At 48.8% G+C, this 27,530-nt stretch overlaps 1 protein-coding gene across 27 annotated transcripts in view, besides 3 other annotated features; it reads right to left on the minus strand.

Annotated features, from left to right (window-relative positions):
• Nucleotides 1-944: 944 nt before the first annotated feature.
• Nucleotides 945-27,530, minus strand: part of SLC41A3 (solute carrier family 41 member 3) — a 95,164-nt gene continuing 68,578 nt past the window's right edge. For 14 of the 27 annotated variants that reach the window (NM_001164475.2, XM_017006707.2, XM_017006708.1 and 11 more), the window contains 7 exons: nucleotides 20,923-21,067; nucleotides 17,374-17,520; nucleotides 11,319-11,463; nucleotides 10,082-10,161; nucleotides 7,203-7,337; nucleotides 3,320-3,468; nucleotides 945-1,813 (listed from right to left, as the gene is read on the minus strand). In NM_001164475.2, the coding sequence (NP_001157947.1) occupies nucleotides 1,604-1,813; nucleotides 3,320-3,468; nucleotides 7,203-7,337; nucleotides 10,082-10,161; nucleotides 11,319-11,463; nucleotides 17,374-17,520; nucleotides 20,923-21,067 (1,011 nt within the window). In that variant the 3' untranslated portion in view covers nucleotides 945-1,603. The remainder of the gene's footprint in view (nucleotides 1,814-3,319; nucleotides 3,469-7,202; nucleotides 7,338-10,081; nucleotides 10,162-11,318; nucleotides 11,464-17,373; nucleotides 17,521-20,922; nucleotides 21,068-27,530) is intronic. The other 13 variants (XM_005247563.3, XM_047448404.1, NM_001008486.2 and 10 more) reach the window with 1 other exon arrangement.
• Nucleotides 12,041-12,223: a silencer, noted in NCBI's record as "fragment chr3:125736296-125736478 (GRCh37/hg19 assembly coordinates)". NCBI's record gives its function as "represses an EF-1alpha promoter that drives an FKBP-Casp9 reporter gene in an ReSE screen in phorbol 12-myristate 13-acetate-treated (for megakaryocytic differentiation) K562 erythroleukemia cells {active_cell/tissue: K562(+PMA)}" and the evidence as "EXISTENCE:reporter gene assay evidence [ECO:0000049][PMID:32094911]".
• Nucleotides 16,003-16,785: an enhancer, noted in NCBI's record as "OCT4-NANOG-H3K4me1 hESC enhancer chr3:125740258-125741040 (GRCh37/hg19 assembly coordinates)". NCBI's record gives its function as "activates a minimal SCP1, AML or CMV promoter by ChIP-STARR-seq in primed H9 embryonic stem cells {active_cell/tissue: H9 hESC(primed)}" and the evidence as "EXISTENCE:reporter gene assay evidence [ECO:0000049][PMID:30033119]".
• Nucleotides 19,861-20,361: an enhancer, noted in NCBI's record as "H3K4me1 hESC enhancer chr3:125744116-125744616 (GRCh37/hg19 assembly coordinates)". NCBI's record gives its function as "activates a minimal SCP1, AML or CMV promoter by ChIP-STARR-seq in primed H9 embryonic stem cells {active_cell/tissue: H9 hESC(primed)}" and the evidence as "EXISTENCE:reporter gene assay evidence [ECO:0000049][PMID:30033119]".

The raw sequence follows: 27,530 nt of genomic DNA on the forward strand, positions 1-27,530 counted from the left end.
GGACTTGAACCAGGGATGATGAGTGATTTGCCCACAAGTGTGTCCCCAGTATCTAGCATGGAGCTTGGCATATAGTTGTGCTGAATATTCTCCAGTTGCCTCTCCAGATCTATCCCCAGCCTCCCCTGGCTCTGTGCCCCAGGAGGCTGAAACCTCTGTGGATCGTCAAGCGGCTCCCCAGTCATTGAACTTCTGGTTGGGTTTGGCCAATGGGAGACACTGGCAGGAGATAATAGGGTGGACAGAGAATGAGATTGGGATATTTATTTCCCTGGCTTTCTCTGCCAGGCCACAAGCTGATGTAGCTGTGTCTCTTTCTTAGAGATCCCCATGCATCTCAGGAAACCACAATCCCAACTATTCTCCAGGACAGGTGAATGTCTGGTAGTGCCTGGCCCCAGGATGCTTCACCCCTTCTTCTGGTCCCCATGCACCTATAAACTGTGCCTTCCTTAAAGTCTGCTCAATTATTCCAGTTAATGTACCATGTCTTTCCTTCTAGAACATTAAAACAAGAGGTTCTATATCAACATTTGTTGAATACATGAATAGATGTCTGTTTTACCACATGAAGATAATAATCTTCAAGTCCAAGCATGGCTACAGTTGTCCTGATGAGTTAATAAGAGACAGGAAATGATCATACATTTTTTAAAGATGATGTTCTCGAGTAGTAGTTCTCAAACGTGGGTGTGTATGAGAAACCTGGAGGGCTTGTGGAACCCATATAGCTGGCTCTACTCCCAAGAAATGCTGATTTGGCTAGTCAGGCCAGGGGGTGAGGGATAATAATTTGCACTTCTAACAAGTTTCCTGGTGACACTGACGTTTCTAGGCTGAAGGCCACTTTGAGAAACACTGCACTAGAGAAATGCCAGATGCTTTTGTTATTTATAGACCCCAAGCCTCAGGGTTGCATTAACTATCTTTAAAGACATAAAGGGTCAAGTACAATATAATCTGTTTTATTTTACACTTCTCTGATTATTGAAATCTAAATAGAGGTTTTTGCTAACAAACAAAAAGGAAAATAAAAAGACAGCAAGGACACGATTAAATGTTGAGTGCAGATGAAGGGTTGTATGAGGCCCCATCCTGGGGAGGCTGTACACCTTCTTGGCACAGCAGCAGTGTGGCCCACGGAGCTTGAACCTGGTGAAGACAGCAAGTAAGCCACAGCTCAAGAGTTCTGAGGCTTGGGAACAGAAAAGAGCTCCTTCCTGCTCCACCCCAATCTGGGTTGCATGGGCATGGAAAAGAGCAAACACACCCTGCAAAGCATACTGGACATGCCTCTTCTTTACCTTCTCAGGCCAGAACACCCTCCTCTCCACAAACGTGTGCACACTTGCACGCTCATTAAGCATGTGCACACATCATATTCACACACTCAAGCCATGCTCTTGATTTCAGGGCTCTATTGCAGGCTCAGGTATCAACCCCAGAGCCGAGGTGTGTGAGAGCTACCTTAGCAGACTCACAAAAGGCTACTGCAGAGGCAGGGGTCAACCATCCCAAGGACCTGGCAAGGGAGAAACTGAATTCTGTATCCCACTGATGTGAGAGGAAATTCTAATGAGCAAATGGGACCAGCGGGGCCCAGTTAGGGAGGTCCAGATGCCAGTTCTGAGATGCCACCCAGCTCTGCCTTGCTCTTCAGTAGCCAGTCAGTGAAAAAGCAGAGTGCCAGGAGGCCAGTACCGAGCAGGTCCCCCAGCCCTGTAAGGTAGGGGATGCAGTGGTTGTCAGGATCCAGGGCCTGGTGCCAAGTCAGCCGAACCATCACTTCTGCGAGGTACAGCAGGATTGTCACCTGTCAGAAGGGCAAAGAGACACAAAAGAAGACCAAGTCAGAAAGTCAAGTACAGGCAGGAAGCACTAGCTGAGGCTCAAGGAGAGATACCAAGGTGGACAGGTCAACCCCAGCCAGCCTCCTTCATCCAGCTTCTCTTGGGGTCTGAAGCCCAGCTCCGAGCTCAAGCAGTGGCTAGAGAGGTGACCCTCATCTGTACTTACCTAGCCTCCCTCTAGTGGGCCCAGCTTCTGGCACCCTGAAGGGCCAATCAGACCCACTGCCACTCACCAGCTGGGGCTCTCTCTGCTGCGATAGGCTCTACTCATGGGACTTTGCCGAGATGTCCATTTGGGTTTGCCTGAGCCCTTCTCCCCTGGAGGTTAGGACAGTCAGCCCTTCCTGAAGGTGCCATGGGGTAGTCCACACAAGCCTGCTCAGGTCTCATGGCTCCTCAATCCCTTGTCCAGGCTAACCCCAGCTCCTTCCTTCTCCCCAACTGGAGTCATAAGCTGCTGCTGCTCAGGACAACTTCTGGGATTTCCCTAATCCTACCCTTTAGGGTCAGGAACATACCACAATTACAAATGCCATAAACTCTGGGAGATGAGAAAGTGCCAGTACCAGCACCACACCCATAGAATTGCCCTCCAGCGCCCACGGTGCTCCCTGCAAAGGCCCCAGACCCACTGGGGACCATCAGCCCGCTGCAGTCTAGGCAGTGTGCTGAATACCTGCCCAACACAGGCACCAGCTTAATCTCCTTCACCATGCTTACTGCTGTCCAGCCCTGATCAATGTCTACGCATGCCTTGCAGCAGCAGACCCTGCAGGGGTCTGGCCCTGCCCACCCACCGTTGGGGAGGCAGTGGATAGCTGGACCACTCCTCAGCCTGTTCCGTGGGAACATGCTTCATCCTCAGGGCTGCTCCTCTTATCCTGTGATGATGAATGTGCTGCGCGCAGTGTGTGGCATGTTGTGTGCCGTGTCTAGCATGCAGTACATAATGTGACGAGTGATGTGCAAGATGACATGTGTAGTATGCAGTGCAGTACGTAGCGTAAGCTGTATAGCATGTAGCATGCAGCACACACTCTGTAGCATGCATGTGGCATGCACTGTGACATGCAGTGTGTAGTGTGTGTGGTGTGCACTGTGTGGTGTGGAGTGTGTGGTGTGAAGTGTGTGGTGTGGAGTGTGTGGGTTGCACTGTGTTGTGGAGTGTGTGGTGTGAAGTGTGTGGTGTGGAGTGTGTGGGGTACAGTGTGTGGTGTGGAGTTTGTGGTGTGGTGTGGAGTGTGTGGGATGCGCTGTGTGGTGTGGAGTGTGTGGCATGTAGCATGTGGTGTGCAGTGTGGAATGGCCTCTGTATTTGACAAGTTGACTCAACTCCTGGAAGATAAGGACTGTGCCCCACACGTCCAGCCACCCCCACCCGCCTCCCTCAGCCTCTCACTCAGACAAGAGATCAAGCCTGCTGGCTGACTACACAGCTGCGCACCTCTAATTGCTGCAGCCAGGCTTACCTGGATCAGGCCTGCCAGCAGGTAGAGCACCACAAAGGTCTGGCTGTTTATGACTGACTGACCCTCCACCAGGTAGATGATGTAGAAGAAAATCAGATGGCCTGGGACCACCAGCAAGAGCAGGACTCGAGCTGACATGGAATTGATTTCTGAAAGAAACAGAACCAAGAAGGTCATGTGACCTGAAGCGAGGCCACTTTGGCATGTGACAGTCCTCAGTGAGGCATCCACACTCACTCATCCATTTATTCCCAAGTGTTCACTGGACACCTACTCTGTGGCAAGCATATTCTGGCAGATGGGGATACAGTCTTTCCCCTTCCCTCGTGGAGCTGATATTTTAGAGAAGAGAAACAAGAATCAAGTAAGCAGAAATAAAAAGAAGCAAGAAAGGCTATTTCAAACTGTGACAAGTACTTTAAAGAAAATAAAGGTAAAAAGAAGGGCAAAAAGCAGGAAGTGTTTATCAGTGGGGATGAGCTCCTGCAGATGACATTTCAGCTGGGATTTGAATTTGGGGGAGAGGAGTTTGAGCAGAGAAAAGAGAACATACAAGGGGCTTAAGGAGGAAAAGAGCTTTGGGTATGGTGCTTCACTCAGTGCAGCGCTGGTGATCTGGGGAGGGCAGTCGGCTCAAAAGGGGACCTCGGGCAGCCCCTTCTTCATAGCAGCCTCTGTGGCCCTGTCAGCATACCTGCAATGTGCCAGTGAGCCCTGGGTTTCCTTTAGATTCCCATGCTCTGAGTTTGAGACTTTACAATAAGTGTGATTGACCCTGGCCCTACCACAAATACTTTTTAAAATTCTAACATGAATATGATTGATTTCTCAAAATGGAAATAGACTTCTAATGAAAAGTAGGTCTCCATTTGCCTCTGAGTTAATATATGTATTTCACCAAAATAATAAAAGGAGAAAAAAGGTCACATGTAGCTCAAAGCTAGTGCAGAAGAGCAACGACATCTATTCATGATGAGAAATCAGACATGGAATAAAAGTATTATTTTAAAAAATGTCAAAAAGAAGCAGCAAAATGATTGGAAGAAGCTACTATTGGAAGTTGGTGTGAGAACTCAAGAAAATCTATAGGAAAACCATGTAAACAATAAGAATTCAATAAAATGTTTAGGTGCACAACACAGAAAATAACAGCTTTTCTATATACAAATAACAAGTTAGAAAATATAACACGGAGTCTGACTTCTGAACAAATGGGGAAGACACACTTCGTCCTATTTCTCCCATTAAGTACAACTGAAAGCCCTAAACATTGTATATAAAACAAACGTAAGCAGATTCTGAAAGGCTGGCTGGGGACCTTGGGCTGCAATGAACAACATGGTCGTGAGTCCCCTGAATTGTCCTTTTTCTCTTTCTTTCTTTGCCTCACATAACCAAGACTGAGTCCTGGCCTCAGCCATCAAGAAATGCAGATACAAATAGACAAAAAACACTCCATAGGCTAGGCGCTGTGGCTCACGCCTGTAAACCCAACACTTTGGGAGGCCAAGGCAGGCAATCAGTTGAGGTCGGGAGTTCGAGACCAGCCTGGCCAACATGGTGAAACCCTGTCTCTACTAAAAATACAAAATTAGTTGGGTATGGTGGCGCACACCTGTAATCTCAGCTACTTGGGAGGCTGAGGCAGGAGAATCGCTTGAACCAGGGAGGTGGAGGTTGCAGTGAGCCAAGATTGCGCCACTGCACTCCAGCCTGGGCAACAGAGTGAGACCCTGTCTCAAAAAAAGAGACTCCATAGAAGTCTGATCTTTTTCACCAAAGGCCAGGAAAGGGGAAGCCCGGCAAAACAGACAACTTTCAGACAATAACTCTATTCCAACAAACTCTATTCCAACAAACACCACAGGAAAAACTGCAGCCCCGACCTCATCAGGAAAGGCCTGGTGGGACCACCATCATCTCCTGTGGCTGGCAGGGTGAGATTCAGAACTTTCATCTCTACCCAGTGCTAATGGGGCCCCCACCTTGTCAGTGAAGCCATGTGGGGAGCAACAACAAGGCATCTTTCCCTGTCCCAGCCAAGGTGGTCTCAGAGGAGGCCTAGTGAGGAACCTAGATTGCACTGTGCCCAGCAATAACAAGGTGCTCCTCTTCTCCCAGGATAGCAATAGAGGCTGAATGGTGAACCCAGTCTTCCATCCCCACCTGGGCAGCAGTCCATCCCTTCTCCCCAGTGGTGCAGTGTCAAAGGAAGCCAGCTAAGTAGAGATTCAAACATGATCCAAAGTCTTGTCCATAATACCCAAAATGTCTGGATTCAAATGAAAATCACTCATCTTACCAAGAGCAAGAAAAATCTCAACCTGGATGAGAAAAGACAACCAACAGACAGCAGAGTGAGACGACACAGACGTCAGCATCACCTGAAAGCCGTTCTAATGAAGCCACTACAACAATCCTTCATCATGCAATCACAAACCCACCTGAAACAAACAAAAAAATAGAAAGTATAAGCAAAGAAATAGAAAGTCTCAGAAAAGAAAAAGAAGATAGAAAGAAAGAAGAACCAAATGGAAATGTTAAAACTAAACACATACAATACCCCCAAAAGTCCCAGACAACTCAGTGAATAGGCTCAATAGCAGAATGGAGAGGGCAGGGGAAAAAAGATCAGTCAACTTGGAGAAAAAAGTGATAGAAATGAGCCAATCTAAACAAGGAGAGTAATAGACTTTGCAAAAACCAAACAGAGTCTCAGGGACTTGTGGGGCTGTAACAGAGGATCTAACATTCATGTCATTAGAATATCAAAAAGAAGGAGAGTGCAGCTGAAAAAGTGATGGCTTAAATTTTCCGATTTGACAAAAGATATAAATCCATGTGTTCAAGGAGCCTAACAAACCCCAAATAGGATAAACCCCAAAAAGTCCATACCAATACATATCATAATCCAACTCCTAGAAACTAAAGACAAGGTCTTGAAATATGCAAGAGAGAAATGGCACCATACCTATACAGCAAAATAAATTGAAATGGCAGATTTCTCATCATAAGTCATGGAATCAGAAGGAAGTGGCACATTTTTCAAGTGTTTGAAAACAACTATTGACACCGAATTTTACAACCAGTGAAAATATCCTTCAGAAATGTGCCAACAGCCAACCCAAAAGAAGGCTAAAGGTAGTTCTTAGAAAGGAAATCCAAAACAATGTAACAGGAAAGAAGATCTGATTTTTCAAAGCCAACAAAAAGACACAACATCTCCAAAAGCTTCCAGTGGTTCTGAGTAGAATCCAGGTTCCTTCCTCAACTCCAAGGCTCTGTCGGATCACCTCCTTCCGGCCTCTCTGGCCTCAGCCTCCTTCATCCCCTCCTGTCCATTCAGCTCAGGCCACATTGGCCTTTCAGTTCTTCAGACTTGCCACACTCCTTCCTGCCTCTGGGCCTTTGCTAGACTGCACCCACTGCCCTGAAAGCCCCTTCTTCTCTTGCCCTCCTCCTCCCAACAACACCCACTTGTCCTCAGGGAGGAGCTTCCTTATCCCAAGTGTATTTCCTCTAATTCTTTTTCACTGCACTCTGCACTTTTGCTGCTCGGTACCCAACATAATTTTTAATTACGAGCCCACTTGTGTTTATCTGCCCTTCTATACTGTGTACTTCAAGGGCAAGAAATCAGCTCTCCCTGTTTCACCACTAACCTAACACCTAGTGCCCAGTGGACATTCAATAAATAATTGAATGAAGGAATGAAGGAAAGGCAGGGCCGGGGAGTCTCATTTCTGGGGCCCTGAAGGTGATGTGTGCCGAGATCAGCCCTGGCTTCAGGCATCCATTGCTACAAACACCAGATTCCAATGACACCGATGTTTTCTTGTTTAAAGAAATGGCTATCATGGCCTCTGAAAGACATGACACCCACCTGACGTGCAGAAAGTAGAACACGGGTTGGGCCAGAATTTCTTCATCTGGAGGGGCAGGACGCCAGGTGCACTCCACATGTGCAGGTAGGTTGAGATTCGGCTGGTCTGAATGGCCACCAGATTGCCACCAACACCTACGAGGAGAAAAGGAATCTGTTTTCCCTTTCTTTACGCCAGTCTCTAAGTTGTATCCCTTATTTTAAGTTCCCTTCCTCCAGGAAGTCTTCTTTGGTTAATTCAGTATTTCATTATCTTTTCCTTTCCTCCCACTTGACCACAGATCTTGTTTGGCAGCAAGTCAGGGTGGCCCAGAGCTTGTGAGTGAGGTATCCAGGGAGTAACTGCATCACCTTGACTGCTGGCATCTCTTAAGGTGAGGGGAGTGCGGCTGTAAAGTAGGTTCTCAATAAGTATTTGTTGGCTGGAGCGAGGATGGGAGGGAGGGGATCCAGGGACAAAGTAAGGATGAGGGGAGAGTGGATAGAAAGGTCTGAGAATAGTGTGATAAGGCAGTCTGGATAAGTCAGACCTCAAGGCCACAGGCATTGACAGGAAACAGACTACAGCCTGGAATATCTGAGAAAATGAAAGTGATTTTTTTTTTTTCACTCAAGGTGGGAAGGAGAGAGGAGGAATGAAGACAGTGGATAAGAATGAGAGGGGGCCAGGCATGGTGGCTCATGCCTGTAATCCTAGCACTTTTGGAGGCTGAGGTGGGTGGATCATTTGAGGTCTGGAGTTCGAGACCAGCCTGACCAACATGGTGAAACTCTGTCTCTACTAAAAATACAAAAAAAATTAGCTGGGCATGGTGGTGCACACCTGTAATCCCAGCTACTCAGGAGGCTGAGGCAGGAGAATCACTTGAACCCAGGAGTCAGAGATTGCACTGAACCAAGATCACGCCACTGCACTCCAGCCTGGGTGACAGAGTAAGACTCTGTCTCAAAAAAAAAAAAAGAATGAGAGGGAAGGTGAGGGGAGGACAGAGATGATCACAGGCAGGTGGCAAAGCAAGCATGCGGCAGGAGACATGCCTGGGACACCTCTCATGGCTGTGTGGTCTGAGAGCGTTGAAGAAAAGACGTTGTCTGCTGCATGATTTCAATTTGTGGTGCTAGGTGAGCCCCTCTCTCGGAGCTCAGTTGTCAGTGCAAACTCCCACATTCATAGATGCTTTGGGTGTGTGCCCAGAGCAAGTGGCTTTAGGGGAAACAGGACGAGCGGGGTCATGTGTAGACTGACAGGGCATAGAACACAGAACCCTAGAGGCAGAGTCATGAGGCCCAGAAAACCATGAGCACATGCGGTCTCTGGGAACACCAGGGCTTCCTGCTGAGACTCCGGGATCCCACAGGGTATGAAAAAGGTTTCAAGCTCTGCCCGGGCCAGATGGTCCAGCTGACAAAGGCCATGCTGAGCATTCCTTCTGTGGGGGCAGATGCGGGGGCGGGCTGATGGAAGGTGGGGATTCCCCTATCCTACTTGCTCAGTGCCATGGAGAACTCTCCCTAGCTGGGCCAGGTGTGCACCAGTGACCTCTCAGGCAGAGGCCAACCACACAGGCTGTTCTAGAGGATGCAAACAATTGTCTTCAGGCAGAGGACTGCTGCGATCTATTCGGCTTGGCCCATACATAATTTTAAAAAGAAAAAGGAAAAAAAAACCTCAAATTAATTGGTACTGTTTACAAATTAGGCCCTTAATACAGATTCCCAGCTTCTCTTCCCAAGTCAGCACTGGCAAGTCTGGACCTACACTCTCCCGAGGCAACTACTGGCTGGAGCTGGACAGGCACCACACTGTTCATATGAGAAATGCATTCTGCAGCTTACCCCTGCCATTTCTCACTGTCTAGCTGCATAATTCATGCAGATTGTTTGGCCACTGAAGGCATCCGAGTTGGTGACTCATCCCAAAAAATCACTCCAACGTAATAAGCCCTCTGTTGCTGTTCTCATGCACAATGTGAAGGCACTTTGGCACTGTTGGGGTGAGGACACGCTGGGTGGCCCACTGACATGCAAGGAATAAAGACATGGTCCCCTAAGGGAGCAAGGGAGGAGGGACACTGTGGACACGCAGGGGCTGCCTAGGAGCCTCTGAAGGCTGTTTCTTCAGTCCCTGCAGGCCAGGGCCTGGGGGCTAAACTGGACAAAACATGTTTTGTTCTTCTCCTAACTGATCACTTCCATTTACAGAAACTTATCAGACACCAGACACCAAGCTAAGCTTTGGTTAAAAGAGGGGTCATCCACACAAACCCCACAGGGTGTAGGCCTAGGAGGTAAGTATGTGCAGAGAGCCAGGTGTCAGACAACAGGGAAGGGGGAGATCAAGGCAGCTGGGAAGCACAGTCCTGGATCTGTCTCAGGCACTGCTGCAGTGCCCAGGGTAGAGACCCGGTATTTGTTACAGTCTTAATTTTTAAGAAGAAGAAATCCAGATTTTTAAGTGTAAATATCTGAGTTCTGATGTCAGCAATGAATCCAAAAAAGGAAAAAGAAAAGCCACAAGAGCCAGCGCCCCGGTTCTGAAGGCCATGCTCAATTGGCAGGTGCCATCGAGGCCGGAGTTTGACTCAGTGCCTGCAAAGCCTGGAATTCGGTCCTGTCAGGAGAGCTTATGTCCCAGGGCTGCCTGTGAGGAGCCGGGTCTGAGCTGCTGCGAACAGTGTGTGGGGCTTCCTCCCCAGGCTTCTTCCATCTGAGAAGACCTGCTCCAGCATCCCTGTAAGGCAGCAGTCTGTCCACGGCTCAGCTGCCCAACTGCCTGTGCGGGGCTGGTGCTGCCCCTCTGAGGTCTGCTGTTCCGGTCCAACCCAATCCTGTGGGCCTACCCAACCCAGGGACCACATGGGAACCCTTCAAATACGTACCACATATGACGGGGGTAAATATCGCCATGCCTTTGTACTGCTGTTTAGAAACGGTTTTGCTCAAGATGAGTCCTCCGAAACTGGGGAAATAGCAGACAGCAGTCAAGTTATCAGAGTTTACACTTACAGTGGCCCTGCAACTCTCCACACAAATCACCCTTTCAGCCCAGCTTCCCATCCTTGGCTGTCACTCTCCTCTCCCCTACACAAAATATCTGCTGCGGCCAAACTGGTCTCCCCAGCATCCTTTGCACCCTGCTCATGCTTTTCCATCTCCACTTTGAGCCTCAACCATTGCAGAAGGCCATCCGAGAACACCCACTTATTGCAAAACTAACAAATGCCTTTTCAAAAGCACACAGCTGGCTGGGCTGTCCCAAGACTCCGGCACCACGACTGAGATGCTCTTTAGCAGAAAACAGAACCTGCAGGAGGATCACCTCATGCCCACCCCATGTTCTCAGAAAATGCTGCAGCCAGACCTTGCTCCCACTGGCCACTGTAGTTTAGCAAAAGCTTTCCCACCCCTTGGGACTTCTTAGAGCCCTGGAGAAGCTAGGTCAATCTGTATAAGGAGCCCAGGAGCCTCCTGGAAGCAAGGATACCTACTCTATCGCCTCTTCTCCCCAAGACTCAAAGTTAGAAAAACTCATCAGAATGGACAGGGGTGGCCCCCATCAAGGTCAACTCTCAGGAAATGAGCCTTGAGAGGGAGCTGGAGGGTGGTGGACCTGGGCTCAGCTGAAGGTTCTAAGGCTCTGGAAGGGCGCTAACCCCACAGCTGTCTAGGTCCCACCAGTAGCCATGTGTGGCCAGTGACCAGGAGGACGAGTGAGTCAGCAGATGTGGCCTTGAGGCCAAGGTGGGGGACCTGCCACCTAAGCAGGGATCTGGGCCAGCAAAGCTCTAGTGGCAATGGCCTGAAAGCCGCTGTCTCCCTTGGGGCTCCAGTGCACTCCAGTGCCGGCCCCAGCTTTGGCTCTTCCTGGGTCCCTGGTGCTCTGGCAAATGTAAACAGGGCAGCCTCTCTTAGAACCAACAAGGCCCAGGGTTCTCAGTGAAAGGGAGAGAAGAAAGGAAAAAAGGTATGATTCAATCAGCAATGGGAGTTACTGAAAGAGCCCACAGCTACATTTCACTCCATTCCTGTCCCCCAAGGCAGTGAGTGTCACCCTGGTTCTAGGGGCCTTCATGGCTGAGAGGAGGAAGAGGGGCCGTGGCCCTGGCTCCTGCTCACCTGCTGATGACCATGGCCAGGATGATTGGGAACCAGCCAAACTTCAGGATCTTCACGATGGGTGGGCTCTGCTTGGCAATGAGGACCCACACTGGGGTCAGAGCCGCAAAGCTGAGGCAGACCAGCGGCGTCAGATACCGACTATCTGAAAGGAGAACAGGGACACACGCAGCTCATGTGGCCAAGGCCAGCACACACAGGCTGGGCCTGGGTTTCACAAATGAGAGGTGGGTGAGGACGCTCCTGTCCTCATCAGTTGAGGGGGAACTGCCTTGCCATACTTTTCACAGAACTTTCACCATCCCAAGAAGTAACTGGAAAAGCTCCTCTCTGTCCTCCATTCCTGCCACATTCAACTCCACTTCTCTGGCAAACTTGCTATTTTCCCCATATAAAGTACCCTGTTCTGCCTCCTCCCACCCTGATGCTACTGTCATAAATAAATAGAAGTACAATGTATGGAATGCACCATGAGCCAGCACTATGCTCAGTACTTCGGGTGCACAATCTCATCTCACCTTCTCGACAGCCCCTGCTTAGACAGGCAGCAGGAGGAAGCAGACGTGCAAAAAAGGGTGGCTGCCTAGACAGCAAGCAGCCCCGTCAGGGCTATGGCCTGGGTCCATGGAACGCCAGGGCCGGCTATGGGATGCCACCCATGGTCCTGGCTGAGGCCAGTCCCAGGCAACCAAGGGTCACCAGCCGGGTAGCTACTCGTGTCCCCATCTCATCTTCTCCACTGGCGAGAGGCCAGTGAAGACTGGGCAGGTGCTGGATCAGTCACTGCTGCGGGGGCCCAGGACAAGCCTGACACACTCGGGCATCTCGTGCATTCATTCCTCCCTTTCTGTGTTGTGCTCCGTGTGAGGGTCCCCCACAAGTGACAGAACAAGACACTGGCTTTCTCTAGAGTGGTCGTCTCACCCTCAGCCCCACCCTCTGGAGGGCAGGCTCACCTGCCAAGGGGGCCCAACACTCAGGGGTACCCAGGCATGGGTCTGTGTCCCATGTACTCCCTCTCTGGGGGTGTTATCAGGAACATCCGCTCCTTCCTTCTCTGCACTAAAGGGTTATGGCCCATTCCTCTGCCTCAGGTGCCCCAGACTGGCTACAGACAAGGTACTTTATGGTAGGAGGGCGTGGCCTCTGCAGGAGATATAAGCCAGGCCCAGCCACCTCTAACCAGGTCTCCCACCCTCTGGGAAACAGCGGCCTGCAGAAGCATCACCTTATACGATGCTTTTGAATCCAGTCTGAGTTTTCAGTTAGCTACTCACAAGCACCCCCAGGGCCTGCCTCATGCTTTCCCCAGCACACCTCCCCAATATGCAATGCCAATTCCCAACTACACCCAGCAGGTATTACAGTCAGCTGCTCACACCTCAGCGGGTCAAGATTTATCTAATACAGGCCAGTCCCAGTGACTCCTGAGTGCAACAGAGAGAAGGTCACAGTCTCACTGGAGAGACAGATGCCCCAACAGTGATTTTGTGTCTAAATCATAAGTCATGTGGAAATGAGCACACGGTACAGCCTGGGGCAGAGGCAAAGGTTCATGTGATGCCTGAACTCTCACTTATTTTGCAAATCCAACTCAAATAACCCATATACAAATCTTCTTGTTTTAAGTTTAGTTTAGCTTAAAAGTAAAGTTAGGTCATCTTATTCTTTCTTACAGATCTCCCTTGCCACTTAAGTAAACTTGGCGAATCTCCCTGGTGATTAAACATCACTGCTGGCAGGCAACACCAGGATGGCAAGAAGACAGTCCCAAAGCTGGGACAGAAAGGGTCCCAGTGCCCATACCCTCTAAATCACAGCTGTTTATTTGTCTGCTTCAGTTGCCAACAGGTAAAGATGGGATGCTTTCTCAAATCCCTAGGCCTACATTCCCATGGGGAGTGATAAACTGCAGCTTTGCTGAGGCTCTTCCCTTTGTCTGGGCACTTCTTCAACAACTGTCACTGCATGCCCACTGCCCTCCAATCCTGTGAGGACACATCAGTGTGGCCGACCAGCCTCAGGCCCCACTCAACCTCCTAGTACACCTCTGCCCTAAAGGTAGAAGTTAACAACCCATATAAATGCAGGCTTCAGTTGCTTATTCTTCCTAACATGGTTTGGAGAGCTTGAGGCACTTTCCTGAGCACTCCTTGAACTTGTGGAATAACCTCAGGCTTTCCCTCTGTAAAAGGATTTTTGACTGTAATACAGCAGGGTCCTTCCTGTGGGAATAATGGCTGATTTGAAGGTCACAGTGTCTTAGTCAGTTTTGTTGCTTATAACAGAACACTCGAAACTGGGTAATTCCTAAAGAAAACGAATTTGTTCTTACGGTTATAATGGCTGAGAAGTCCAAGGTTGAGAGGCTGCCTCTGGTGAGGGCCTTCTTTGCTGGTGGGGACTCTGCAGAGTCCGGAGGTGGCGCAAGGCACCACATGGCGAGGGAACCGAGCATGTAGCTCAGGTCTCTCTTCCTCTTTTTTAAAGCCACCAGTCCCACTCCCATGGTAACTCATTAATCCAATTAAGCCATTAATCTATTAATCCATGAATGGATTAATCTGTTCATGAGGGCAGAGCCCTTATGACCCAATCACCTCTTAAAGGCCCCACTTTTCAATACTGCCACATTGGGGATCAACACATGAAATTTAGGGAACTCATTCGAACCACAGCATTCCACCCATGGTACCCCAAATTCATGTCTTTCTCACATGCAAAATACATTCATTCCATCCCCATAGCCCAGAGTCTTAACTTATGCCAGCATCAACTCAAAAGCCCGAAGTCCAGAGTCTCACATGTGAGCCTATGAAATCAAAACAAGCTACCTGCTTCTAAGATACAATGGTGGTACAGGCATAAGGCAGACATTCCCATCCAAAAAGAAGAAATGGACAAAAAGAAAAGACCAATAGGCCAAAACCTGAGAGAGCAGACACTGGGGCTTATGACTCCAGAGCTTTCTCCTCTGACTCCATGCCAGGCATCCTCTACACGCTGGTGTGGGGGTTGAGGTTCCCAGGCCTCTGAGATCCCCCTACCTCCAACCATGGCTGTGCAGTGCTCAGTCCACCCAGCTCTCCCAGGCTGAAATCGCACACTAACAGCTCTGCAGTCCTGGGGTCTTGGCGGGAGTCCTGCTTCCATGGCTCCACTAGGCATTGTCCTGGTGGAACTCTGGAGCAGCTCGAATCCCACATTTCTGCTTGGCACTGCTCTAGTAGGGGAACTCTGCAGTGGCTTCAGCCCTGAAACAAGTCTTCGTCTGGGCCCCCAGGCTTTGGACAAAATACTTCCAAAACTTGGTAGTGGCTACTAAGCTTCCAAGGCCCTTGCTCTCTGCAAGTCTGGACAATTAGCACCACATGGACCTAGGTTTATGACTTGTACCTTCTGGAGCGGCAGCATGAGCTGCACCCGAGCCGTGTGAGCCATGACTGGGATGGCCAAGGAGCGCTGCACTGGGATACAGGGAACAGAGTCCCTAGGTGGCCCTGGGCAGCAAGCTCATGCCCTGGGCCTGTCCCCTGAAACGATTCCGTCTTTCTAGGCTTCTGGGCCTGTGATGGGAGGGGGGGCCTCAAAAAATCTCTGAAATGCTTTTGGGCCTTTTCCCCCTTGTCTTGACTATTAGCTCCCAGCTCCCTTTCAGCCATGCTAATCTCCTTAGAAACTGGTGGCTCAGTCACACCCTTGGATTCCTCTCCTGGAAACTCTTTCATTCTCTACCATATGGCCAGGCTAAAAATTTTCCCAATTTTCCCGCCGTTTCCATTTTCTCTAAGAGTTCACCAGGTAAACCAAAAACAAAATTCGAAGCTCCATCCCAACCACCTGAATGGACTTCCTCCTCAGCCAGGGCACTCTTAAAATGTAACCTGAAAGACTGGTTCAGGCCATGACGGGTAGTGGGGGTCAGACATGCCTCATTATCCCTCTCCAGCATTAATATCAATGCAGACTTTAAGTCCGGTAAGAAGCATTTTATAATCTCTTCTCTCTGAAGCCTGCTACCTGAAGGCTTCCTCTCTGCAAATAACAACTGTCTCCACAATCCTTTTTCTTAACACAGACATTCCTTTCTATTGATCCCAGGTCTTTAGATAAACTCAACCGATTGTCAAAATCAGGTGTGTTGTTTGCTTCTTTGTTTAGAGTTTTTTTTTTTCTTTTTTTTTGAGACAGTCTCTCTCTGTTGCCCAGGCTGGAGTACAGTGGCGCTATCCCGGCTCACTGCAAGCTTCGCCTCCCAGGTTCACGCCATTCTCCTGCCTCAGCCTGCCGAGTAGCTGGGACTACAGGCGCCCGCCACCATGCCTTGCTAATTTTTTGTATTTTTAGTAGAGACAGGATTTCACCGTGTTAGCCAGGATGGTCTTGATCTCCTGACCTCGTGATCCGCCCGCCTTGGCCTCCCAAAGTGCTGGGATTACAGGCGTGAGCCACCGCGCCTGGCCTGTTTAGAGTTTTTATACCCCCTATCTTTTCCTGGGCTTTCTGTGTCCTCCTTTTGTTCTTCCCCTGGGCGGGCCTTTATCTATCACATGTGCAGTGGCCCTGCCAGCACTTGGGAGAGCTGCATGTGCAGTGTGTTTATTGAAGTGGTGCACATGCTCAGTAGGGGCAGTTCTCACTGGTCCAGCGCTCCAGAGGAAGGTCATATACCAGTTAAATTTCACCATCTTGCCCTTTCACTGCACATGCTTAAAACCCTATCGGGGATTATGGCTTGCTAATTCCAGGTGTCTTCTGTCTGTTCTAAGACTCCTGTCATTCCAGGCACCAGTCATGGCCACTTATTATCTTAGAGGGACGGTTTTATGCCTGCCTGTCCGTTACTTAATGAGAACCAGACAGCTCTGGGGTTCCTCCCTTCTCCTGCTCATTATTTCAGGGGGACAGATTTATAATTGCCTGACCATGGCTTGACAACTGCCCAACATTCTTGGGGGCCCTCTCTCCTGCCCTGCTCATGTCTAACACCCTATTCTATGACTAAGTTTAGAGTTCACCTGAGCCCAAAACTTAAGAACAGCTCAGTGGGAGCATAGATTCAAGTGCCCTGAATATACACTTCAATTAGTAGCAGTTACAAGTGGGATTTTAAAGATAAAGGAAGAGGCTGTTCCTAAGTTGTTTACAAAGAATTTACATTAAAATAACATAAGCTATGGATTGGCTATATTATTGTTCATTGTATCACAAATTCCAGGTACATGAAGATAATGGGGGAGGCAGTTAGGAACAAAATACCTTTAAACAACTGCCCAGGCATGGATGTGGGGGGCGTGACTGAAGCAAACAACACACTTGATTTTTCAAGTCACCCACATGGCTCTCCTTCAAGTGTACTCTCTAATAAATTCTCGCTTTGCTTAAAATAAATTCTCCCTCCTGCTTTAAACCTTGCCTGTGTCTCTCATTTGAAATCTTTCCTTCCAGAAGACAAAGAACTGAAATTGCCACAAAGTTGCCATTCTGGAGTTTCTCCAGATAGCTGGACTCACCGCTGGTAACAATATTATCTGGATATTGTTATTTAAGGTTGACATCAGTAACACCCTACTTCTCAGTATCAATTTTTTGCTTTAGTGTATTTGCTTATAATGGAATACCAGAAATTGGATAATTCATAAGGAAATTTCTTATGGTTGTGGAGGCTGAAGAACCCAAGGTCGAGGGGCAGCATTTGGTGAGGGCCTTCTTGCTGGCGGGGACTCTGTGGTCTGGAGGTGGTGCAGGGCACCACATGGTGACAGAACCCAGCGTGCAGCTCAGGTCTCACCTCCTCTTCTTATAAAGCCACCAGTCCCACTCCCATGATAACTCATTAATCCATCAATCCATTAATTCAATCACCTTTTAAAGGCCCCACCTTTCATTACTGCCAAGTTAGGGGTTAAGTTTCCAACACATGAAATGTGGGGGACACATTCAAACAACAGCACATGGGCTGGGTGCAAAAGTACCCACTCAGCCTCAGTGGTGACCTGCTCCAGGGCCCCCCCTCCACGGAGCCTTTGTGTCTATAGAAGAAGACACTCTTTACCTTTGTGTCTGTAGAAGAAGCTGCTAACCAAAGCCAGAATGGACAGTGTGATGAGGTCTCCCAGGCTGGCTGCAATGGGCGTGGCAATGTTGTCTGGGTTGACCCCGAGCTTTCGAGCACCAATCACTATACAGACCATCAGCACCCCTGCAGAGAGAGAGAGGAGAAACAGCAGACTCAAATCCCAGGGAGCCAGATGGCTCTGAGCAGGCACAGCAGCACAGGGATGGGCGGCACTGAGTAGGGACTGGCAGGTGGCAGGGAGGCTGCTCATTAACTTGCCTCCCTCCACAAAGTCCTTGACGTGAAGCCAGGCTGCCCTGACTTTCAGAGCTTCCCACTACACTGGAGGCCTGAGAAGGCTGGGAGAGTTGGACTCCACTTTGTGACCTGTGCACATGATGCTAAGGAGTGACCCGTGGCTCCCGAGCTCCCAAATCACCAGGAACCACAGAGACAGGCAGCCCACAGCCCCATGCTGCATGAGGGCTGCTCCAAAGATGCTCGGAGCAATGGAACCCCTCGGGGTGAGCTCATGGCCTCCTGTGTTTACTGGCATCCTCTGAGAAGCAGACATCCAGATGGAAACAGCTAGGTAAGAGATTGATTAGGGACTAAGCCTGTGAGGGAAGACAGGGAGGGCAGGAGGGAGCTGGGAGCACTGGAGGACATCAACACAGTTAGGGCACAGGGGAGGGGGGCAGCGAAGGTGGGGTACATCTAAGACTGCACTGCATTTCTAGGTGCGCTCAGCCAGGCTGTCAGATGCATACTCGGAGGGCCCCGTGTCTCCCAGGAACAGTCCTGCACTGGGAGCTTAGCGGTGCTGTCCATGGTGCACTGGGAAGCACGTGCAGTGGTGGCGGATTTCTGGGGGCAGCACTGAAGAGGTGAGGCTCACGTTTCCGTGGCTACCATGCCTCCGAAGTCCTCCTTCCTGTTCAGACTGTTCAGACTGTGCTCTGAAGGGGACTATCACATGTGATCTCCTAGTCCCCATCCACAGCCTAGGACTTGACTCAACAGACTCTCACTTGGTTCTCTAAGAAGATACTCTGTGTTGTGGCTATTGGCATTTTAACACTTTACCCAGGATCTTGTAACTCTAAAAATAATTACAATCACCACCTGATGCCATCCTCAAGCTGCCACTACAAGCTGGTTTGTGCCTTGCCTGATCTTGTGAACAAGTCACAGCCCTGTGTCTCCTTTTGAATGCCAGCTGTAAGTGAATCCGAGTTCGCACGCTGATTCAGTGAGCTGGGGACAATCTTGCAAGGACCATTTAAAGGAACACCAGTGGTTTGGGGGCACCTATTGAAAACCACTACCCTGAGGCTTCTGTGATAGCCTCTTCAACACTGCCTGGTGAGGTAACCGCAATGCTTCTGAACAGCCATGGACAATACAGATTTTGCTTGTGTTGCTAAGCTTCATCCGATCTCTGGGCCTCAGTTTTCCCTTCTGTAAAATGGGGAGCTGGGAATGGTGTTCTCTACAAGTCCCTGCAAAGACAGGGCTGGCCTTCAGGACTGTCAGACTGTGTTGTTTTCAGGAGACTTTATGCTGAGGGTCTCCTGGACTGTTCTTCTCTGGAAAGTCTGGCACATTCATCCCGCCCCATCTGTGGACCAGGCTGGGTCATGGCATCCACCATCCGTCCATGCCTGCGCAGGCTGTGACTAGGAGCCAGCCTCAGCCAACACCCTGAGCAGGGACACGTGGTTTGTAAACCTGCAGCCTGCTTTGGCACAGTCCTCTTCTGGCCTACACCCTCCATGCACTGGCACAGGAATGGGCCTGATTAGCTGCCTGGTAGGAATGAGAATAGCCCACATGGGTAACCCACAGAGAGCTGAGCCCAGAGGATACTGACTGAGCAAGTAGGTGGGGGAATGGATGTATAAACACAGGTTCAATTATGAAGTTATCAACTTTTCCTTCTTTCACTGAACCAAAGCAAGGCACGTGGTCTGGAAGATTCACAAAGACACGTGACCCAGGAGAGAGCTGGAGGAGAGTCCATTCATTCAGCGAACATCTGCAAGCTGGTTATAAGCCTGGCCCTGGTTTAAGTGATGACAATAACCAAAAGGCTCTGTTCCCATCAGTGGAAATGCCTGTCGGGTGTGGGGAGAGACAGTACACACATGTGTGAACACACATTTGAGGTGAGGTGAGTAAAACAGGACACTAACGTAAAGCATGGCTGGAATGGTCACTTTAGTGTTGGTCAGAGGAGGCCTCAGGACAAAAGCGACATGTGGCACTCACTCTAGTGTCCTGTATATTCATAAGCTTATTGTCTGCCCCTGAGCTAGAATATAAAATCAAAACACATTTTGTTGACAGTATATCCCCAGCACTACACCGTGCCAGGCACACAGCAGACACCCAGCAACAACTGAATCACCAATGGACAACCATGCAACGTGGCCAACGTGTGGCAACTGCTTTCCCTGCACATGTGCGAGCCCCAAGGAAGGGGTATGTCTGCCCGCATCTGTCTCCCGTGTGTCGCAGATACACGTTAAGCACCAGCTGTGTTTGGCATGAGAAAGGAGCAGCAGACAGCAGGTGGGAACTACTGGGTCCCCACTCTTGAGGAGCTGACATTTTAGCAGGGAGGTGAGGCAGCAAGATGATGCAACAAGACAATCTGAGCTACACAAGCAGAGCCGGGGCCCATGGGAAGGGGAGAGAGGACGTGGGTGCATGTGGGAGTGTGGTGCTGTGCACTCAACACTGCTGTCCCCCTAACCCACATGTTGAAATCCTCACCCACAAGGTGAGGAGGTGGCGCCTTTGGGAGGTGAGGTCATGAGGATGGGGGCCCCACGAATGAGATGAGGGCCCTTATGAAAGAGGCTCCAAAGAGCTCCCACCTCTCTCCACTGTGTGAGGACAGCGAGAAGGGCCGACTGCAGCCTCAAAGGGAGCAGCTGTGAGCCCAGCCCCGCAGACGCCCAACCTCGGGCTCCAGCCTGCAGCCCCACGAGGAGTAAATGTCTGCTGCTGCCAAGCCGCTGACTGGGGGCTCCGTCACAGCAGCCACAGTCTCCTCAGACAGGTTAGAAAGGCCTCTCTGAAGACATGAAAAGGAAGCTCAAATCTGTGCCTTACCCTCAGGACACCTGCAGCCTCCAGAGCCCATCACAGGCCTGTGTGTAAGGTCATGCTCAATAAGTGTTTAAAACCAACAGGCTGACTGCACAGATGAACAAGCCTGCTCTGTGCAGGTGTCAGGCCTCAGCACGGGAGTGTGACCAGCTGAAGAGACCTGCAGAGCAGGGACAGGTCTTTACACAGCAGAGAGCAGAGGCGAGTGGTGGCAGGAGCGGCACACACCCCTGCCTGGGTGAGGGCACAAGGTGGGCCATGAAGACCCAGCTGGCTCGTCCCACCCTGCCAGTGAGAACCCTGAGCCCACCATCAGTCCCATTAGCAGTGGGACTCACACCCCCAGAAACTGAAAACACAATGAGCTCTGAGGTGGGACCTCAGAGGAGCAGGGAGCGGGTGGGGGCTCACAGCTGGGGCATGGCTCACCCAGGGCAAAGGCTGCAAGGAAGGCAGTGAGGACACTGCTGGCACACAGCAACTCCACCTTGGCGACATCCACTTCCTCTCGAGACACCACGCCCAACAGCAGCGCAGCCACAGCAGCCAAGAGCCCCACGACAGTGGCCTGCACCTGTTGGACAGAAATCAGAAGCATGAAGGGGGGCCCCGGGGCCACAGCCACACTCCCTGCCCTTCACACCTCACTCACCGCAAGGGGCCGGGTGCCACATGCTACTGCCTCCTTTCCCTTACCCTAAAATCTCACAGGCCCTCACCCCAGGAAAAACTAATACCACACCCCACACCTGCCTTGAACTCAACTCCTCCGAAACCACGCTGGCCACCTCTGCTCCCTTGCTAGGCACTGCCTTCAAGAGCAGAATCTATTTCTCCATCATCTGCTCAGGCTTTGGTCAGGGGCCACCTGGTATCTTGCTGGCAACTCCACTCTCACTGGTCTGAGCAGAAGTCCTCTGCAACTCCCGGCAGTGCAGACAACACACCTCACTTGCCATGTGGTGTACCCCACGACACAGAGCAGTCACACGGGAGGACTTCACACACTTTTGGTCTCTCCTTTGGCACCCTGCTCACACCCTCCCCTTCCAGGCTCTGTTCCCATCTCTGTCCTGCCAAACACACACCACAGCCTGCGCCAGGAGCTGCCCTGATCTGGACATCGACACTGGCACCTCTAATCCAAAATGCTGACCTGGAAACGTTATTAAAGAAGGACACAGAAACAAAGAGCTCCACCATGTAGGGGGAGAAGAGTGATATGGTTTGGCTCTGTAGCCCCACCAAGTCACATGTTGAATTATAATCCCCGATGTTGGAGATGGGGCCTGGTGGGAGGTGATTGGATCACAGGGGCAGTTTCTCATGGTTTAACATCACCGCCACCCCCACCCCCCACCCTGTCCCTTGGTGAAGTCATCGGTGATCATGAGTTCTCATGAGTTCTGGTTATTTAAAAGTGTGTGGCACCTCGTTCCTCTCTCTTGCTCCTTCTTTGGCTGTGTGAAGTGCTACTCCCCTTTGCATTCCCCCCATGCTTGTAAGTTTCCTGGGGCTTTTCCACAAGCTAAGCAGATGCCAGCATCATGCTTCCATGCTGTACAGCCTGTGGAACCGTAAGCCAATTAAACCTCTTTTGTTTATAAATTACCCAGTCTCAGATATTTCTTTATAGCACTGTGAGAACAGACTAACACAGAAAAGTGGTACTGAAGAGTGGGGCACTGTTATAAAGATACCTGAAAATGTGGAAGCGACCTTGGAGTTAGGTAACGAGCAGAGGGTGGAAGAGTTTGGAGGGCTCAGAAGAAGACAGGAAGATAAGGGAATGTTTGGAACTTCCTCAAGACTTGTTAAATGTTTGTGACCAAAATTCTGGTAATAATTTGGACAGTGAAGGCCAGGCTGATGAGGTCTCAGATGGAGATGAGGATCTTTTCGGAAACTGGAGCAAAGGTTCCTTTTGTTACACTTTAGCAAAGAACTTGGCTGCATTATACCCCTGCCCTAGGGATCTGTGTAACTTTGAACTTGAGAATGATGATTTAGGGTATCTGGTGAAAGAAATTTTTAAGCAGCAAAACATTCAAGATATGAACTGGCTGTTTCTAATAAACTATGCTCATATGCATGAGCAAAGAAATGATGCAAAACTGGAACTTATATTTAAAGGGGAAGCAGAGAGTGAAAGTTTGGAAAATTTGCAGCCTGGCCATGCGGTAGAAAAGGCAAACCCACTTTCAGGGGAGAAATTCAAGCAGGCTGCAGAAATTTACATAAATAAAAAGGAGCCAAGTGCTAACAGCCAAGACAATAGGAAAAGGCCTAGAAGACATCTTAGAGACCTTATTGGCAGCCCCTCCCCTCACAGGCCCAGAGGCCTAGGAGGACAGAATGGTTTCATGGGCCAGGTCCAGGGCCCCTGCTGCCCTGCACAGCCTCAGGACACTCTGTCCCATGTCCCAGTCGCTCAAGCTCCAGTCATGGCTCAAAAGGGCCCAGATATAGGTCAGGCTGCTGTTTCAGAGGATGCAACGCATAAGCCTTGGTTCCATCCACATGTGTTATGCCTGCGGTTGCACAGAGTGCAAAGTTGAGGCTTCAGAGCCTCCGCCTGGATTTCAGAGGATGTATGGAAAAGCCTGGCTATCCAGGCAGAAGCCTGCTGCAGGGGCACAGCCCTCATGGAGACCCTCTACTAGGCAGTGTTGGGGGAAATGTGGGGTTGGAGCCCCCCACACAGTTCCCACTGGGGCACTGCCTAGTGAAGCTGGGAGAAGAGGGTCCCCATCCTCCAGACCCCAGAATGGTAGCTCCACCAGCATCTTGCCACCATCAGCCTGGAAAATCTGCAGGCACTGAATACCAGCCCATGAGAGCAGCAGACAGGGCGGAACCCTGCAAAGCCACAGAGGCAGAGCTGCCCAAGGACTTGGGAGCCCACCCCTTGCACCAATGTGCCCTAGATGTGAGACATGGAGTTAAAGGAGATTATTTGGGAGCTTTAAAATTTAATGACTGCCCCACTAAGTTTCAATTCTGCATGACGCCCATAACCCCTTCCTTTGGCTGATTTCTCCCCTTTGAAATGGGAGTATTTACCCAATACCTGTATCCCCCACTGTATCTTGAAAGTAACTAACTTGTTTTTGATATTATAGGCTCATAGTTAGAAGGCACTTGCCTTGTCTCAGATGAGACTTTGGACTTTTGAGTTAATGCTGGAACGAGTTAAGACTTTGGGTGACTGTTAGGAAGCCATGATTATATTTTGCAATGTGAGAAAGGCATGAGATTTGGGGGGCCAGGGGTGAAATTATATAGTTTGTATTTGTTTCCCCACCAAATCTCATGTCAAATTATAATCCCCAATGTTGGAGGTGGAGCCAGGTGGGAGGTGACTGGATCACAGGGGTGGTTTCTCATGGTGACCCCTTGGTGCTGTCATCTACAATGAGTGAGTTCTGCTGAGATCTGGTCCTTTAGAAGTATGTGGCACTCCCTCCCCCACCACTCTCTTGCTCATTCTCTGGCCACATGAAGTGCTGGCTTCCCTTCTGTCTCCCACCATAATTGGAAGTTTCCTGAGGACTCCTCAGAAGCCAAGCAGATCCCAGTATCATGCTTCCTGTACAGCCTGTGGAACCATAAGCCAATTAAACTTCTTTTCTTTATAAATTACCCAGTCTCAGATATTTCTTTATAGCAATGCAAAATGAACTAATACAAAGAGCTAGTTTTTTAAAGCTAAAAATTGCTCCCCAAGTTAATCCATGTAATTCCAGTCAAAGTCCCAACAAGATCTTTCACGGCACTTGACAACTCATTTTAAATTTCACAAAAATGAGTAACTGTGCAAGAATAGCTAAGACAGCTTTGAGAAAGGTCAAAGAGGGAGTTGTGGCATACTCATGATCAAAGTGTATTTTAAAGCTGAAGGAATGAAAGCAGTGTGGTCCTGACAGAAACAAATAGATCAGCAGGACAGAACACAGCCCCATAAAAGAACCATGAATATATGAAAATTTAATATATAAGAATGTAATCATGAATATATAGCAGGATAAAGGTGGCATTGCAAATCAGGATGGAATGGGTAAATATTAAACAGGGTAAGAAAAACTGGATATCTAGGTTTGGGAAAAATATGGGTCCCTACTTCATACCATTCACACACATACCCCTGAACATAAAAACTATTTCAAAAAATAAAATAAATATAATACATATGTAATATATATTATACAGAATATATAATTATAATATGTATAATATATATTATATATGTTATTATATTTTAGGAAAATTCTAAATAAAATCTCAATATATGTATATTATAAACCTTTTATGTTTAAACAATATATATTAAGTTATATAAAACTTTATAACATATAATATATATGATATATAATATATAATTATATATATATTATACATATATACACAAGTCCATTTATACACTGGACTTCATTATTCTAGATACTAACTAGAAAAATGCACAAGGGTTATGGATAGGCAACTCACAGAAAAGAAAATACAAAGGGATAACAGACGTGCATAAAGATCAACTTCTCTAGTAGTTAGGAAAATTCTAAATAAAATCTCCATTTGAAGGTATCTTATTCATTAACAGCTGATGCTGTTCTTCCTCTTTTAAAAGGTAAGTGTTGTCTTATTTTCTACTGGGGTCTCCTGTTCTGAGCACAGAGCCTGGCACTCTGCAGGTACTTATACAGGCTCAATGGACAGATGGATGAATGACAGATGTGTGGGTGAATAGGTAGGTGGGTGAATGGGTGGGTGGATGGACAAATAAACAGATGGACAAATGGATGAGTAGACAGGTAGGTCGGTGGGTGAGTGGCTGGGTTGATGGATGGATGGATGCACAAGATATACTTTGTTTATTCATCAGATTAGGTAAGATTAAAATTTAAAAAGTTGATAATATAAAATACATATTGACAAGTATGTGAGAAAATGGTTCTCTTATACATTGAAGGGGGTCAATGTTGGTACAGGAATTTAGGGGGAAACTTTGGCTACAATTTATCTATATACCTTCTGATTCAGCATTTTCTCAAAAGAAACATTTGTGTATTTGTACAAAGCATTCACAGCTGATATTTACTGAGTGCTATCTGCCATGCTCGAAGTAATTTTTATTCAATAAGTCGTTATTAAGACAAAAGTACAAGTCACAGAATTATGTGTGTAAAACTTTTTATGTTTAAACAATACAGAAAACCATATATATTATCTATGGGCACACACATTTATATGGTGAATTCAAAAAGTAGTTTAGAAGAACATTTTCAATGCTAATGAGGTTATAGAGAAACTGATTCAAATATTGCTCAAATATTAATGGTAGGGCTAATTATTTAATACTAAGAAATAAAATAATTTTTAGTCATTTTGGAGGGAAATCTAGAGCTTTGAACTGTTCATACCCTTTGAACTTGTGGGAAGTTATCTTAGGAATTTCATGCACAAAGATACTTTCATTGCAGTATAATCTTTCAAGTAAGTCAAAGGCTAGGAAGACCTCAAGGCCCCGCTCAGTGGCAGGGTTCAGGGAAGTGGGCAGGGCTGGTGCTGAGTGGACTCCCAGGGGACCGGCTCTTAGTGGCTGCCCTTTGGTCACTGCTGCCTCCCCACATTTATACGACAGAATATGCTGAAGTTCTTAAAAAGTCCAATGAATAAAACTTATTGCACTGCTGATGATTCAGAGTTAATTAAGCTTTTTTAAAAATGGAGGAGACAAAATTACATTCATGCTAGGATTGGGACTATACACCAAGCCAGTGCCTGTCCCTGAGCAGGGCTTCATAAACATATGTTGAGAATCAATTATGTGGAAATGCACATCCATATGGACAAAGATTTTATGGAAAACAGCAAAGTACAACCAGTGTGACTTGTAGTCGAGGCATTTATTACCTGCCCCTTGCTAGACCTTGTGTTAGAGGCATCCCCAGCATCTCATTCAACTCTGCAGTTCCTCAGCCACAGGACATGGTGCTAGCCCGTAAGACTCAGCTTAGCTGTGGGCAGCAGACATGTAAACACACAACTACAATCAGGGCAGCCGCAGCAGCATGCATAAGGCACCAAAGACGTAAAAGGCAGAAAGAGATACACCTGGTGTTAGGTAGGAACTTACACCTGAGTGGAGCCTTTAACGAACTTCACTGGCAGCTGAACTAGAGGAGAAAGGACCTTCCCAGGAGAGGTGGCTGAAGATGCACGGCAGGGAGGTGTGAAGGGGTGGGGGCTGGGCAGGAAGCTGGTAAGACAGCGCGGCCAGGCCCACAGTTGGACGAGAGGAGCCAGTGAAGGAGAGGAGGCATAACTGACTGGGTTTTAGAAAGGCCACCCAGGTGGCCAGGAGGAGCTGGAGGATTCCTGGCCTGGGAGTGCCTAGAGCAGTGTGGAGGTCTGCCACTATCCAGGCAGGGGAGGAGGAGGAGAAGCGGAATTCATGCACAACTCGGAGGCAGAAGCCTCAAAGCGACTGCATGCTGAGAAGCAGCTGGGGTGACTTGGTTTCTGGTGTGGTTACTGGGAAGGACCATCCACAAGGCACAGCTGACAGGACAGGGTGATGTCCAGGTGCCAGCCAGATGCCACATTCTGACATGGTGACAACTTCACAACAACCCTGCACAGGTAAGGTGAAGTGACTTGCCTGAGGCCCCTCAGTGGGCTGATTCCCAAAGTGAGCTTTCAACCATCACACTAGACTGAGTTGGGGACTTTAGCAGAGGTGAGTATGGGGAGAGAAGACAATGAGGCCAGACTTGGCTGTTTTGGGGGTGCCTCTGGGACAGGCAGATGGAGATGCCCCGTACAGTTAGATGTACTGGTTCTGGAACCCAGGTGCGGGATAAAGTAGGTATCATTCTAATGTGATGGATGGGGGAGTCAGCCCTGTTCAAGGCTATCCAGTGGATAAACAATGGGCTGATCTGATCTCAGGGTCCATATTCTCAGTGCTGTCACAGACCACCCCAACTCAGAGAGGCCCAGAAGGGTCTAGGATAAAGCTACCTCCTGTCTATGTCCAGGCC

Source organism: Homo sapiens, chromosome 3 (assembly GCF_000001405.40).
Source record: "Homo sapiens chromosome 3, GRCh38.p14 Primary Assembly".
Taxonomy (NCBI): Eukaryota; Metazoa; Chordata; class Mammalia; order Primates; family Hominidae; genus Homo; species Homo sapiens.